General features: G+C 40.3%; 1 protein-coding gene across 15 annotated transcripts in view; it reads right to left on the bottom strand.

Moving 5' to 3' along the window:
• GK (glycerol kinase) overlaps nt 1-15,923 on the bottom strand; it is a 78,040-nt gene that overhangs the window by 47,414 nt on the left and 14,703 nt on the right. For 14 of the 15 annotated variants that reach the window (NR_174370.1, NR_174373.1, NR_174371.1 and 11 more), the window contains one exon: nt 6,597-6,674. Coding sequence is in view for 8 of the 15 variants with exons in the window: in XM_011545491.3 (XP_011543793.1) it covers nt 6,597-6,674 (78 nt within the window). In the remaining 7 variants the exon portion in view is untranslated. Of the gene's footprint in view, nt 1-6,596; nt 6,675-9,582; nt 9,748-15,923 lie in introns of all 15 variants that reach the window. The other variant, NR_174369.1, reaches the window with a different exon arrangement.

Genomic DNA, 15,923 nt, shown 5'->3' with positions numbered 1-15,923 from the left:
GTAGACCATTAATAAAAGCTGCTTTTGGAAGGAAAAGGCTTAGAAAAATGGGTGGGTAGAGGAAACCCCGTGGAAGGGAATATTGAAGATAATGCTAAAAGGGAAAGAGAGAAGTACCAGGAAGACTAGGGCAACTGAAGAGAGGCAAGAGAAGCCCAAGGCCTGCTTTGGTTCCAGGGCCACAAAGCTCTTGCTGATCCACCAATGAGGTCATTATTGTAAATGCCTGCATCATGGCACAGTGGCTGGAAAGCAGTGATGCAAAGTAACACTTTCCCATTTTAGATATCACATTAATGTTTACCTTATTAATCACATAATTAACAGATAAATTCTAAAAATACATAGAACTTGTAAATTAGGCCATCTCTTCCTCAATGGACCCATTTAAATTTTTTTCTGTTTATAATTGTATCTGATAGAAAAGATGTCAATAAACAAACACACCTTTATTGCAAGCAAAAACAAATAGCCCTTCTCAGTCTTTACCTTCATCAAGCCTATGCCGTGGCCACCAATGATATCCTGAAGTTCTCCTATCTTGGTTTTTCTGTTACCGTAGTGGGGGTGAGTGAATTATTGCTTATCAAGTGTCCCTGAGCCATAAACAAAGGAGGCCACATAGAAGTTTTTAAAAAGGGAAACATAATGTGCTCCTCTCATATGCTTGTTTGTAATAAATATTGCTCATCTGGCCGGGTATGGTGGCTCACACCTGTAATCCCAGCACTTTGGGAGGCCGAGATGGGAGGATCACTTGAGGCCAGGAGTTCAAGACCAGCCTACTCAACACAGCGAGACCCTATCTGTATTTAAAATATATATATTTATATACAGCTGTATATATATATGCATATATCATCTGTTGTATAATTTAGTAAGACAGAAATAAAGAGGAGAAGGACAGGCATAGAGTTACAGAGATTTACAAGAGAAATAGACAACGAAGGAAGAAAACATACAAAGAGAATGCTATGGACTGAATGTATGTGTCTCTTCCAAATTCGTATGTTAAAATCTTAACCCCTAATATGATGGTATTAGAGATGGGACCTTTGAGAGATAAATTAGGCCATGAGGGTGGAGCCCTCATTGAGATCAGTACCCTCATAAAAAGAGAGAGCTTACTTTCTTTTTATCACTGTCTGCCATATGAGGATGAGAAGACAGTCATCTGCAAACCAGGAAGAAGGTCCTCACTAGACACCAGATGGGTAAGCACCTTGATCTTGAACTTCTAGCTTCCAGAAATGTGAGAAATAAATTTCTAATCTATAAGCCACCCAGTCTATGATATTTTTGTTAAAGCAGCCTGAACCGAGACAGAGAAAAAAGTATAAAACCTGCAGACTGTGATATAAACAAAGCAAAAGAAGTTCAAAGACAAATATACGTGAAAATCTCATTGTTTCCATCCATCCTACCTTGTGTTGCTTTAGAATAAAACTGCTAAAGATTTAATATTATGTTGATATTTTCAACTGAAGACCTACATGGAGATATGACACTTTAGAGTTTTCCTGGATGAAATAAAACTGAAGGCAGAATCTATCCTTGTCATTTCTTAGTGGCTCTCCTCCTTTCCTATTTCCCTTTCTCCTTCTAGCTTCCAAACTTCTATCCTTAGTTTCTGTAGCAGAAAGTCAAGTACAAGGTCTTCCTGGTTTGTCACTATATGCCAAGGGTTATCACAAAACCTAGAACACAGAAAGGCACCTATTCTTTCATTGAATTAATTTTATATTAATTACTATAGTGAGTTCATCCATAATAAATTGAGATTATCACATCTATGTTATCAATTTTCAAGTCTACATTTGGAACCATCTAATTTCTCATTGCCCAGAATTAGCTTCTATTACAAGTTCAACACTCACTTTGTCGAAAACAAGGCCATTTTTTCTCTCAGGTTGGTACCCCCTAAATATTATTTAATTTCTTTCTGTTCTCTCAGGCTGAAAATCTCACAGGCCTGCTTTATTTTCTCCCTCCTCCTTATGCCCTATCCAATGTATAAACAATAAAATTTTTGTTGTTTATAAATTATCCAATCTAGGGTATTTTGTTATAGTAACCAGAATGGACTAAGAGAATGGGTTAGCTGCCTAGTGTATCAAGTCTACACTACTCTGCATAGCTTTTGGTGACCTCTATATCCTCACCAACTCCTAGTATATTTCACTTTCATTTCTTAATAATTTTTTCACTGGATATAGAACTGTATGTGGAAGTTACTTTCTTTGAGTACTTTAAAGGTTTCATTCCATCGCATTCTGACTTCCTTTGTTTCCACTGATAACTTAGCTGAAAGTCTTAGGGTCACTCTTTTGAAGGTTATATATCTTTTTTCCTCAGCTACTTCAAAACTTTATATCTTCATATCCCAGCATAAGTATGGTCTTCTGTATATTTATCTTGCCTAGGGATTATAGTGCTTATTGAATCTACAGCTTGCTATCTTTCATCAGTTTTGAAAAACTTTCTCCCATTATCTGTCTAATGTTATTTCTGCCTCGTTTTTTCTCATTCCTTTCCTTCTGGAAGTCCAATTACAAATATATTAAACTTCTTCACCTTTTCCCATATTTCTCTTAGATTCTTTTGTGCCTTTTCTAAACTTTTGTTTCTCTGTGCTTCAGTCTAAATATTTTACTCTCTCTCCCAGTTCTGATTTATCTTCCAGCTCACAAATTCATCTTCAGCTATGTCTCCTCTGATGGTAAAACCCCATCAATTGAGTTCTTAATACAGTTTTAGAATGTCCATTTAAACTGGACTTCCAATTCTTTGCCAAGATTATCAATCTCAATCTTGTCAATTAATTCCTTGAACATATTAATTATGGCTATTTTAAACTCTAAAAACTCTAATATCTGAATTTCTTGAGTCTGTTTCTAATGTCACTTGTTTCTGTTGCTTTTCAGTCACGTTTTGTTTTGTATGCATGGTTTTTTTAAATAGAAAACTAGATAATGCGTATGAAAAATTCTAGAGATTATTTGAGGCTCTAGATGATGTTGTCTTCCTCCAGAAAGGATTTACTCTTATTTCTGAAAGGAAGTTAGGCCACTAGCATTAGCAATCTCAGATCATCTTAATCCAATTAGTGTTAAAGATCATTTGAATCTGGGCTTCAATTCCTGTGAGGGTTGGTTTATTTTCAGTTTACCTCACTTCCAGGATTTGACCTTTCACAGTCCCAGTCCAAAGTCTGGGATTTTACCAACACTCATCCCCACCCTTGGCAGCCCTTGACTTCACCTTTTGCCTCCTTATCTTTATGGACCTGCAGAAGTGTGGCTTAGCCTGTCAGATACTCCTTTCAGAACCTACCGATATCTCCAGGAGATAAGCAATGCCAAATGCTAGGCTTATGTCTCTGGGCTTTCCTTCTGTCCTCACTGCCTTGGTAGCCTTCCAGTTCTTCAGAATTTTATTTCATTTTCATCCAGCTTTTCTGGTTGTTCTCCGCATACTGGTGTGTTTGAAACAACCCATTCCACCATCATGGGATGGCTAAACTCTCCTTTATCATCTGTTTTGCCTCAAGCTGCCCCGTGTTTTAAGTCTACACTACACTGCATGGCTTTCAGCCCCCTCTATATCCTCACCAACCCCTGTCTACCCAAATTAGAACACAAGCTTTAAGGTTGGAGAGTGTTCATGTTTAAACTGTGGCTTTACTCTACTTATAGCTACATGCCATTGGACAAGTTATAGAGCTTTTCCACAATTAATTTATAAAATAGGGGTAGTAAAATCTGTTTCACAGGGTCAGTGAGATTAAATAATATGGGTAAAATACTTAGCACAATCCCAAAGTAATAGCAGTTAGCACTTACTGAGTATTATTATCGCTGCTAGTTCTACTAAAAATAAAAAAAAATGAGTCAACCTATGCATGAAACTCATCCATTTCTTTACTCTGGCAAAATATGTGTACACATTTTCACCTTCATAGCTTGTTCACATTATTCCTCAATTTTCTCTTTTCCTAACGCAATCCAATATACGCTTCAAGGCCCAAGTGAAGTTCAACCTCCACTGTGAAAAGTATGCTAAAATTTCAAAATCCATACTGATATGTACTTGCTCTAAGTCCTTTTCAACCTATCAACACATGATTTATCAACTATTCCCTAATTTTGTTTTATGGATTGTTCCCTAATCTAGTTTTCTCTTTCCAAAACTAGATTATAAAGTGCTTAAAAAAACAGCCAATATAATTTGTATCCTTTATAGTACCCAAGATAACATCAAACATGTAAGAGGTTCTCAAAACATGTATGTGGCTCAGGATAGAAGAAAAGAGTTCCTCATATCCTATGAACATTTGAATTAATACTGCAAAGCACGTAGAATGGGGGAGGGGTGCAGAGGGACACAGGCAGAAGAGAAGGAAATAAGTAAATAAGAACATCACAGAAAGATTTTCTAGTAAAACATTTACTTAAATCTTTACTGTAAGCATAACTTCAGCTTACCTAGTTGCATTATTTGAAAAATAACAATCCAAAGTCCAAAGTTCCATTTTTACAATTCAATGTTTAGAATATAACTGGAACTAGCCGGGCGTGCCAAGGTGGGCAGATCACCTGAGGTCGGGAGTTTGAGACCAGTCCGGCCAACATGGTGAAACCCTGTCTCTACTGAAAATACAAAAATTAGCCGGGCATAATGGTGCACACCTATAATCCCAGCTACTTGGGAGGCCGAGGCACGAAAATCACTTGAACCTGGGAGATAGAGCGAGCCGAGATTGCACCACTGCACTCCTGCCTGAGTGAAAGAGAAGACTCTGTCTCAAAAAAAGAAAAAAAAAAAAAAAGCTCAGAATTTAACTGGAACTTTCTGGTTTGCCTGAGTAGGCTCTTCCTTTCATTAAGAAAACAAAAGAAAGTAAAACCTTAACTAGTTCAGGAAGTTAGCTAACATTGATCTATCAAAGGATACTCTCCTAAATACTAGTCATTAAATAGTCTGTCTTATATTCAAAATGAATTACTCATGAGAATGAGAACAAAATAAACATTTAAAACATGTACTTCTGGCTGGGTGTGGTGGCTCACACCTGTAATCCCAGCACTTTGGGAGGCTGAGATGGGTGGATCACTTGAGGTCAGGAGTTCAAGACCAGCCTGGCCAACGTGGTGAAACCCCATCTCTACTAAAAATACAAAAAAAAAAAAAAAAAAATAGCTGGGCATGGTGGTGGGCGCCTGTGATCCCATCTACTGGGGAGGCTGAGGCAGGAGAATCGCTTGAACCCAGGAGGTGGAGGTTGCAGTGAGCCGAGATTGTGTCATTGCACCCCAGCCTGGGCAACAGCAAGACTGTCTCAAAAAAAAAAAAACAGAGGAAAGAAAAAAAAAAAAAACACCACAGAAAAAGATGTACTAAAAGGATCTTTAGTTGTAATTCTTTCAAATTTTTTGAGAATTTAATTTTTTATCATAAATACAGAAAACATACTAAATACTTTCTTATAATACAATAACATTAAATACTTTAACTTTTAATAAAGATTATTCCCCCAAAATTATCCCCTCTCTGATAATTTCTGATTCCATTCCCCATCCCACAACTTAGTATTTAATTGATAAAAAATTGTGCTTTGCTTTCTGACACAATGAAGTCTTTTAGTGATTGTAATTTAGAACAAAATTTTCCTTTTAGGAAGTGGTAGTATCATTCGGTGTTCAACAACTGTCATGCTAATAATGATGCTAAAATATACTCAGGATCATTTACACCTAATAAGTTGTGATACCTAAAAGTGGTATATTTGAGATTTGGGGTTTTTTAAATCCCTGCTCAAATAGCCACATTTGTAGAAGAAGCAGCTAAAATTCGAATATTCTATTTTTATAACCTTAGAAGAATAATTCAAATTCCTAGATGGAAAGACAAACACACAAGTACTTTATAGAAAAATGACTGTGAACACACGTAATTTTAATTTTTTGAGGGTAAGGAGGTAAGATCTCTTTTAGATGTCACAAACAGCAGGGGTTATAAAACAATTTGGCAAACATTCACTCATTTGTAAGACAATCTGCAAGAGGAGAGAGCATGGGAGAGTTAATTCACTATGTGAATATGTATGATCCAAAAATGGTAAATATACAACAGTTAATTTCTTAGCAGACTCTTCTGCCCATCCCATCAAGATTATAGGTACCATGACTGCATGTGTTTTTTTTTTTCTTTCTTTTTTTTTTTTTGAGATGGAGTCTCACTCTCTTGCCCAGGCTGGAGTGCAATGGCAAGGTCTTGGCTCACTGCAACCTCTGCCTCCCAGGTTCAATCAATTCTCCTGCTTCAGCCTCCCGAGTAGCTGGGACTATAGGTGTGTGCCACCACACCTGGCTAATTTTTGTATTTTTAGTAGAGATGGGGTTTCACCATGTTGACCAGGCTGGTCTTGAACTCCTGACCTCGTGATCCACCCACCTCAGTCTCCCGAAGTGCTGGGATTACAGGCGTGAGCCACCATGCCTGGCGACTGCATGCTTTTTTAGCAAGATATTTTAATATGACCACATTTGCAATGTGAAGAAAGGCCCTACATTTGACATCCATGCATGACAGCTTACCCACAGCATTGTAGAGAGGCTCTCCAGTTATCTTGTCCCAGACTACAGTGGTTTCCCTCTGGTTGCTGACACCAATAGCTTTAAAGAGAAAGTTAAACAGAAGGAAGTCAAAAATTTAACAAGTAGGAAACTACTTCAGGAAAACAGCTCTCATCTTACTAGAGACACAACTAAACATAGCAAATCAAAAAAATACTTGAAACATTTGTAGTGATATTAGTTTATTTTCTTTGAGTGGCTCCAGAAAAAGTCAATACCCAATGCCAAGTGTTTCTTTTCATTTCTACATACTCCTTCCAGCTTTACTACTAGCACACAATGATGGACCCAGATCAATACCCAAATAAAAGGCACACTGGTTGCTTTAAGGAATGCAATAACTTCACAAATTTATAATACCCAATTTATTATTCTGAGCAGACCAATAATCAACTCATTCATTTGTTTACCAATTGCTACAAGAAATTTTCCTCCCTATGTGTGTGCATTTGTGTGTGTGTGTGTGTGTGCACATGTACATGCCTACATTTTAAGAAAATAGCTATGGACAAAATCCTTCATGCTGAGCATCCTTATATTATGGTTTGTTAGAAATTCAGTTTTATTCCTGTATTTTTAATATGTCACAATACATAAGAATTTGAATCAGGCATAAATATAATATATAATGGCATTTACATTATATTGACCTACATAAAACAAGTACTATATTTAGTGTAAAAAAACACTAACCCACACTATCTTATTCAATTCAGCTTGGTTGAGCTAAATTGGAGGTTTTCAGACTTGATTGTACTTTAGAATCAACTGAGGAGCTCTTAAAAAATACCAATGACCAAGCCCTGGTCAAAACATTCCAATGTAACTGACCTGGGATGGGATGTGAGCATTGGTATGGGTTCCTAAAACTTCCCCAGGTGATTCTAATGTGCATCCTGGATAGAACACACTTGGCCAAAGGATCCAGCTCTTCCAGAATTTAAGATTAGGACAGACCTTAAAGGCTGTATAAGCAAAAATACTTCTCAAGCTCAAATCTTCTCTAGAATCTCCTGTCATATGACCATCCAGATAGCACTTCTAGTGACAAGATATTCACTACATCTCTCAAGGCAGAGCAATCTCCATTGGACAACTTTGGTGCTTTTTTTCTTTTTGTAAATCCACCAGACTGGAAAATGTAGCAAGACCTCACCTCTACAAAAAAATAAAATAATTAGCCAGATGCAGCAGTACACAACTGTAGTCCTAGCCACTCGGGGCTGAGGCAGGAGGATGGCTTGAGCCCAGGGGTTCAAGACCACCCTCGGCAATGTAGCAAAACCCAGTCTCTATAAAAAAATTTTTAAAAATTAGCCAGATGGCCTGGCGTGGTGGCTTGCACCTGTAATCCCAGCACTCCGGGAGGCCGAGGCAGGTGGATCATCTGAGGTCAGGAGCTCAAGATCAGCCTGGCCAACATGGCAAAACCCTGTCTCTACTAAAAATACAAAAAATTAGCCAGGCATGGTGGCATGTGCCTGTAATCCCAGCTACTCAGGAGGCTGAGGCAGGAGAATCCCTTGAACCCAGGAGGCGGAGGTTGCAGTGAGCCGAGATTGCGCCATTGCCCTCCAGCCTAGGCGACAGAGGGAGACTGTATCTCAAAAAAAAAAATTAGCCAGGTGTGGTGGTGTGTTCCTTTAGTCCCAGCTACTCAGGAGGATTCCTTAAGCCCAGGAGTTCAAGACCAGCCTGGGCAACATAGTTGGACCTTGTTTCTAAAAAAAAATTTTAAAAATTAGGGGGGTATGGTGGTGCACGCCTGTAGTCCCAGCTACCCAGGAGGATTGCTTGAGCCCAGGAGTTTGGGGTTGCAGTGAGCTCTGATGGTGCCACTGCACTCCAGACTGGGCAACATAGTTAGATCCTGTCTCAAAAAAAAAAAAAAAAAGAAGAATAAAAATCATTTTCTGTGGCCGGGTGCGGTGGCTCACGTCTGTAATCCCAGCACTTTGGGAGGCCGAGGTGGGTGGATCCTGAGGTCAGGAGATCAAGACCATCCTGGCTAACACGGTGAAACCCCATCTCTACTAAAAATACAAAAAAAATTAGCCGGGTGTGGTGGTGGGCGCCTGTAGTCCCAGCTACTCGGGAGGCTGAGGCAGGAGAATGGCATGAACCTGGGAGGCGGAGCTTGCAGTGAGCCGAAATCGGGCCACTGCACTCCTGCCTGGGTGACAGAGCAAGACTCTGTCTCAAAAAAAAAAAAAAATCATTTTTTGTGTAGCTTCCACCTCCCGATCTTAGTCATATTCTTTGGAGATATATAGAATAAGGGTAATCCTTCTACATGCCAGTCTTTCAAAACTTGAAGCAGCTCTTTTGTACCTCAAGTCTTCTCTTCTGCTGTGTAGCCTAAACAATCCAATTTCCTTCAACTGACCCCACCTAAACATGGCATGGTTTAAAGTCCCTTTATCACCACGCCTAGGAACATGCAAGTGTATGTCCATATCACTCAAACTGTACGTCCAGAATAAAACACAATACTCTAGGAATGTTCTGACCAGCACAGAGCTGAGGGGGAACATCAGCTCCCTTGTTCTAATACTATTTATCCAATGCAGATTGACTTACTTTATTCAACATCTTTTCTAAAACTACCTATTGGGTGGTATGCTCACTAACTGGGTGACGGGTCTGTACCCCAAACCTCAACATCATGCAATATACCTACATAACAAACCTGCACATGTACCCTCTGTATCTAAAAGTTTATATATATATATATTTTTTAAAAAATATTTTCTAGAGATACAAAGATGATTGAGATTCTACTCCAAAGAAATTTAGAGGCATAGGGTATAAGGAAGAGATTCTGGGTAAGACAAAAATGTTTATAAAAGTAAATAAAGAAGAGAAAGGAGAATGAGGGGATGGATGGGGCTGGGAATCAATGGGGACTTGGTTCTGACTGATGTAGTGACAGGAGAGGATGGATTACCAGCACAAGTGGAGGGAGGAGCTCCAAGTGGGGCAGAAGGCTATTGCTGCCCTTGTGATGAAGGAAAGTTGGCAGGAGATCCAGATATTAAGCACAGCAACAGGAAGGTGAGGATTTAAGGCCGCAGACCCTCAACTTTCTCCATGAAGCAGGAGGTAGGGTTATCTGCCAAAACAGGGCAAGAGTTTGGGGCACCATTCAGTAGAGCTCAGGCTCTGAGGCCAGATAGCTGGGATTCAAATTCCAATTCCTGTGCTTCCTAGCAGTGTGACTCTGGGTCTCAGTTTTGTGTCTTGTAAAATGGAGAGAATAATAGTTCCAACTTTACAGGGTTACAGTGAGGAGTCAATGTATATTAAAACACATGCCTGGTACACAGTAAGCACTCAATAAATGTTACCTACTGCTGCTGCCATGGTCATTATTATTGAGAAGAGAGTAGAGTAACAGTTTCAGAGAATGGGACTGAGCTAAGGAGGGCAAATAAAGGAATTCTGCAGCAGCTCTATGGGTACATATTGTGAATGTAATTTTTTTGTGCGTGTGACAACTTTACAACATGGGATCACAATGAACTTATAGTCAACTAAAATCTCCTATTCCTCCTCACTATGTTAATTTTACCATCAATAAGCTGGCTACTTTCTTACTCACAATCCTTGAGTCACTATTCTATGCCTCTCATGCTACCTATCTTTACCAGGTCATTTTAACTTTTCTTCAGAATCTAATTTAGAGCTATTTCAATCTGATTCTTCAGTCACGGGTTCCTCCCTGGGCATTCCTTTTTTCTCTTCTATCTTAATTGGATTCCTTCATGCCAAGTAAAATTGCTTTGCTTGCAGGCAAAGTCCAGTGAAACAGCTTCCCAGGATTCTCTGCCAGCCACAAACATGTCTTTACTACCTATTTCTCCCCAGGGCACACAAGTCTTATGTGTGAACTTATCTCTGAACTTTTTCAATGTTCCAGTGTCTTGTCATTCCTACCCTAAAATCCTCTATGTTTTTTAAAGAAAACGTTGCCAACTGCTAATCTCAGCACATGTGCCATTCCTAATGGTTCCTAATTTTAATTCCTTCTTTCTTGGAATAACACATTCAGGTTTTATAATTCTCCACTCCTCCTCATGTGCACTGTTTAAGATAATATGAAAGTCACATGCATAAAACATGTATTTCCTGGCCTCAAAGTCTTTCATTTACGGACATCATAACCATTATCATATATCGTATTGCTCTTGCATTTACCAGCTTCATACTTTACCCACATATTCTCTTTGGGGGCACTTTTCTCTACACTGAATGTCAGTAGTAAAATTAAACTAGTTAAAAGCTACACTCAAAATCCCTGGTTAATTTTTCTTAAAATTTTCCGTGAAGTTATAATCACAGTTAAGAAAATATACCTTAGAAAAAAGAGCCTTTGAAAATACTCCAGGATGTTAATAATTGTTGTCTTGGTAGAATTATGGATGAGATGCATCCTTTTTTAAAATTAAAATCATAACATATAATTATAACACATTTTTTAGGAGAAAACTAAAAACACACAGAACAAAATAATAAGAGCTTCAGAGGAAGGTTCTCTGGCTACAAAAAGGAATACCATGTGGGAAGAGAGATAAAGCTTTTTATTTTCATTTTTTTTTTGAGACAGAGTTTCGATGTTGTTGCCCAGGCTGGAGTGCAGTGGCGCGATCTCGGCTCACCGCAACCTCTGCCTCCCTGGTTCAAGTGATTCTCCTGCCTCAGCCTCCCGAGTAGCTGGGATTACAGGCATGCGCCACCATGCCCAGCTAATTTTTGTATTTTTAGTAGAGATGGGGTTTCTCCATGTTGGTCAGGCTGGTCTCGAACTCCAGACCTCAGGTGATCCGCCCGCCTCAGTCTCCCAAAGTGCTGGGATTACAGGCGTGAGCCACTGCGCCCGGCCTGATAAAACTTTTTAAAACAGGCTCTGGAAGATGTGTACTTGAGGTGGGTTAGAAAAATTGCAAATGAGATGTGGCTGCTGCTGGAAACATTTTGGAGAACGAGGTGCCTTCCTGAAACCCCTGAGAGGCCCCTGACAGTATGAGTCTAAGAGGTGGTAGAAATGTGTGTGAATATGTTGGGTAGGGCAAGGCAGTGGAGGAATGGATATGTGGGTTTCCCTTTTCTCTAACAGGGAAATAATTGTTTTAGATACAAGATAATCTAATCTCTGAGAATTTTATGCTCTCAATTTTGAAAGAGTTTATGTTGTGTTTTCGTTCTATCACATGAATGAATATGTAACTCTTTTTTTTTTTTTTTTTTTTTTTTTGAGATGGAGTTTTGCTCTTGTTGCCCAGGCTGGAGTACAATGGCATGATCTCGGCTCGGCGTGATCTTGGCTCACTGCTACCTCTGCCTCCTGGGTTCAAGCGTTTTTCCTGCTTCAGCCTCCTGAGTAGCTGGGATTACAGGCATGAGCCACCATGCTCAGCTAATGTTGTATTTTTAGTAGAGATGGGGTTTCTCCAAGTTGGTCAGGCTGGTCTCGAACTCCCAACCTCAGGGGATCCACCCGCCTCGGCCTCCCAAAGTACTGGGATTACAGGTGTGAGCCACCATGCCCAGCCGTAACTCTTTGTATTTTGGAATTGCTACTGTAACTCTTTATACTTTGTAATTCCTTGAGCCCAGTGACAGGCAAACAGAGCTGACTCTACCGCTAGAAGGAAAGAAGCAGTCTATTTAATTGCCTTGAGCTAGTGTGTGCTGCTCAGTTGGAGAGTGAATTTTAATTTTGGAGGCACTGTTCCTAGTGACTTGAAATCAACAAACCTTCTGTCAGATAAGCATAACAAAACCAATGAAATTGAAATTTGCCAAGGAAATACCAGACATGAAGAACTCTTAATGACTGTCAGGTAGGACTATAAATGATATCACTCTTCAGTTGGCAAAGTTAATTTACTTGCCACACAAGAAATAAAAACAGAAGTGGTTTGTGAGATTACCATCAGTGTGGCTCAGGAAAAAGAACTCTGGTCTAGGAGTCAGGGGAGCTGTGCTTTAATGTTAATCTACCACTAAAAAGCTACATAACCTGCAGTTAAGTCCTCTTCCCTAATTTGCAGATAGAGGGAGCTGGTCTAGTTGACTGAAGATCCTTTACAGTGTTGTTTTTTTTTTTTTTTTTTTTTTTTGAGATGGAGTTTCGCTCTTGTTGCCCAAGCTGGAGTGCAATGGCGCCATCTCGGCTCACTGCAACTTCTGCCTCCCAGGTTCAAGAGATTCTCCTGCCTCAGCCTCCTAAGTAGCTGGGATTACAGGTGTGCGCCACCACGCCCAGCTAATTTTTTGTATTTTTAGTAGAGACAGGGTTTCACCATGTTGGCCAGGCTGGTCTCGAACTCCTGACCTCAGGTGATCTGCCTGCCTCGACCTCCCAAAGTGCTGGGATTACACGCGTGAGCCACTGTGCGCCCAGCCTTTTTTGTTGGTTTTGTTTTTTTGAAACAAAGTCTTGTTCTGTTGCCCAGGCTGGAGTACAGTGGGGCAATCTCGGCTCACCACAACCTCTGCCTCCTGGGTTCAAGCGATTCTCCTGCCTCAACCTCCCAAGTAGCTGGGATTACAGGTGCCCACGACCACGCCTGGCTAATTTTTGTATTTTCAGTAGAAACAGGGTTTCACCATGTTGGCCAGGCTGGTCTCGAACTCCTGACCTCGTGATCCACCCACCTCAGCCTCCCAAAGTGCTGGGATTACAGGTGTGAGCCACTGCACCCAGCCTCCTTTACAGCTTTAACAGTTTGTGATATAGAGTTCTATGCAGGCAAGCAAAAGCTTGGTCCTTGGCAATGCCAATTGGATAAATTTTCTGGGAAAAAAAAAAATAGTACAACTGGCCTGGTATGGAGGAGCTTGTGGGATGTTCTCTTCTGTGGCCAGAGGATGGTAGTTGTACAGATGGAAGTGCTGGGTCAGTTTGGCTCAGATGTGGACTTCACACTGGCCAGACACAGAGGAGTATAGAGAAGCTGCCTGTTCAATTCTTAGACCAGGTAGTGCAAACGGAAGACAAATCACTTGGGCAGGAGTTGTGTGTCATCTTCACATAACCGTAAAAACAAGGGAGAAAGGAATAGCATCCAAGTGGGTCCAGAAAGCCAACACATCACAACCTACCTTACCTGTAAGGGAGGTAGAATGATGTCAAAGCCATGGTCAATCACCCTGGACTCTACATTCTAAACATGGCTTTAAGCTGCCTGGATTACTTACGTCTTTGGTAATTTTGACAAGAGTGTGCTACTGATTGCCTATTATTTGTTTGCACTGTTTAGACTGTGAGAAGTGCAAGAACAGCTCAAGGAAATGATCAACAACAATCACTAATGCACAACTCATCTAAAGTTCAGGACTACAACCCTAAGAGAAGTTTGAAGCCCTTCCACTTAGATGTAGGGATAAAGGGAGGATAGGATTAATATGTGCATAGTATTAAAAGTTGTTAATAAAATATCAAATTATACTTTTAAAAAATCTGCAATAACAGAAATAACTCTATTATTTTATGCATTTCCATTTATTTGTGATTATCAGATTAACATGTTTTCTGCACTTAAGCATTACCTCCATTGTATCCTTAGCACATCTGGCACATAGTAGGCACTCTATAGATTTGTAGTCTTTTTTTTTAAGTGAGTTTTAATTTATACAAATAGGGGAAAGGCTCAGGAGCGATGGTAAGTATCAAAGCCAAGATGATGGCAATCAAGCCACCACCACCAATTGATGTTCTCTCTATCTATAGTCAAACTACCTAAGGAGGAAAAAAAGAGCCCTTGAATGGTAAACTTGAAAATTTTAGGCTATAAAGTAGACAGCAAACTTCCACACTATGCTTCCACCTTTTATGCTATTATATCAATCTTGGGTGGCTGGATTTTTTTTCCCTATATGAATGATGAAAAGCCAAACATAGATATTCAATTAAAACTACTAGGACTTCGCTGGGCGCGGTGGCTCATGCCTGTAATCCCAACACTTTGGGAGGCCGAGGCGGGCGGGTCACGAGGTCAGGAGTTCGAGACCAGCCTGGCCAGCATGGTGAAACCCCGTCTCTACAAAAAATACAAAAAATTAGCCGGGCATGGTGGTGTGTGCCTGTAATCCTAGCTACCTGGGAGGCTGAGGCAGGAGAATTGCTTGAACCTGGGAGGTGGAAGTTGCAGTGAGCCGAGATCATGCCACTGCACTCCAGCCTTGGGGACAAGATCGAGACTCCATCTCAAAAAAAAAAAAAAAACTACTAGGACTTCTCAGAGAAATCCATAACAATCTAACACCCTCAAGCAATTATTTCAGGGAAATTTTAGAAGTGAAGAGTTTGGATTCCAAATACCCCTTCCCCACAACCTACTCATTCCTCTAGTCTTTCTCTCCTTAGCAAAAGGCATCCTCATCTATCCAGGAGCTCTGGCAAAAACCAAAGCATCACCTTTGACCAATCTCTTCCCTCAACCCCACTACTCTCTCTGTTACCCCAACATCCAGTCTATCAGCAAATTCTGGCCCTTTCTCTCCACCTCCACTGCTACCATTATTGGTCAAGCCACCATCCTCTCTCAGGACTTCCATAGCAGCCTCCGCACTAGTCTCCCTGTGTCCACACTTTTGCCTTTACCATCTACTCTCCACACAGCAGTCAGAAAGTTGCCTTGAAACTGCAAGTCATCCCTTGCCGCCTTGCTTAAACTTTCTCATGGCTCCCTATGATACTAAGAATAACATCCAAAATCCTAAATATGGCTGATGAAGCCCGACCCACTTCCACAATTTGATCGCCTACTGAAACCCCCTACCCAGTCTCACTGCTCAACATTTTTAGTCTTCTTTTGACACACTGGCCTTCTTTCTGACCCGGAAATGTCCCAGGCTTATTCCCACTTCAGGGCCTTTGTACGTGCTGCATCCTTTTCCTCAAACACTCTTCTAGACACTGGCATGGCTGACCCCTTTTGCCCTCTGAGAGCTCAGCAAAAGTGTCACATCCTTAGAAAGGCTTTTCCTGGCCACCTAATCTAAAGCAAGCCCTTCTAGGCAAAACCCACCATACCACTTGGTTTTTATTTTTTGGAATGGAACTTTTTAGTATTTGAAATTATATTTTTCTGCTCTTATTATCTCGCCCCCATCCAAATAAAAGCTCCATGAGGACAAGAACTTAAATCTTCCTCTTTAGTGTTGTATCCTCAAGTTCTCATAGAAATGCTTGGCACTGCATAGGCACTCAATTATAAGCTGAAAGAATAAATTAATGAATTTGATTGAGAGAGTCTTATTATGTGGGTAAAATATTCTACT

This window comes from Homo sapiens, chromosome X (assembly GCF_000001405.40).
Source record: "Homo sapiens chromosome X, GRCh38.p14 Primary Assembly".
Classification (NCBI taxonomy): domain Eukaryota; kingdom Metazoa; phylum Chordata; class Mammalia; order Primates; family Hominidae; genus Homo; species Homo sapiens.
The sequence above is the reverse complement of the archived record's forward strand: the minus strand, read 5'-3'. Positions and strand labels throughout refer to the sequence as shown.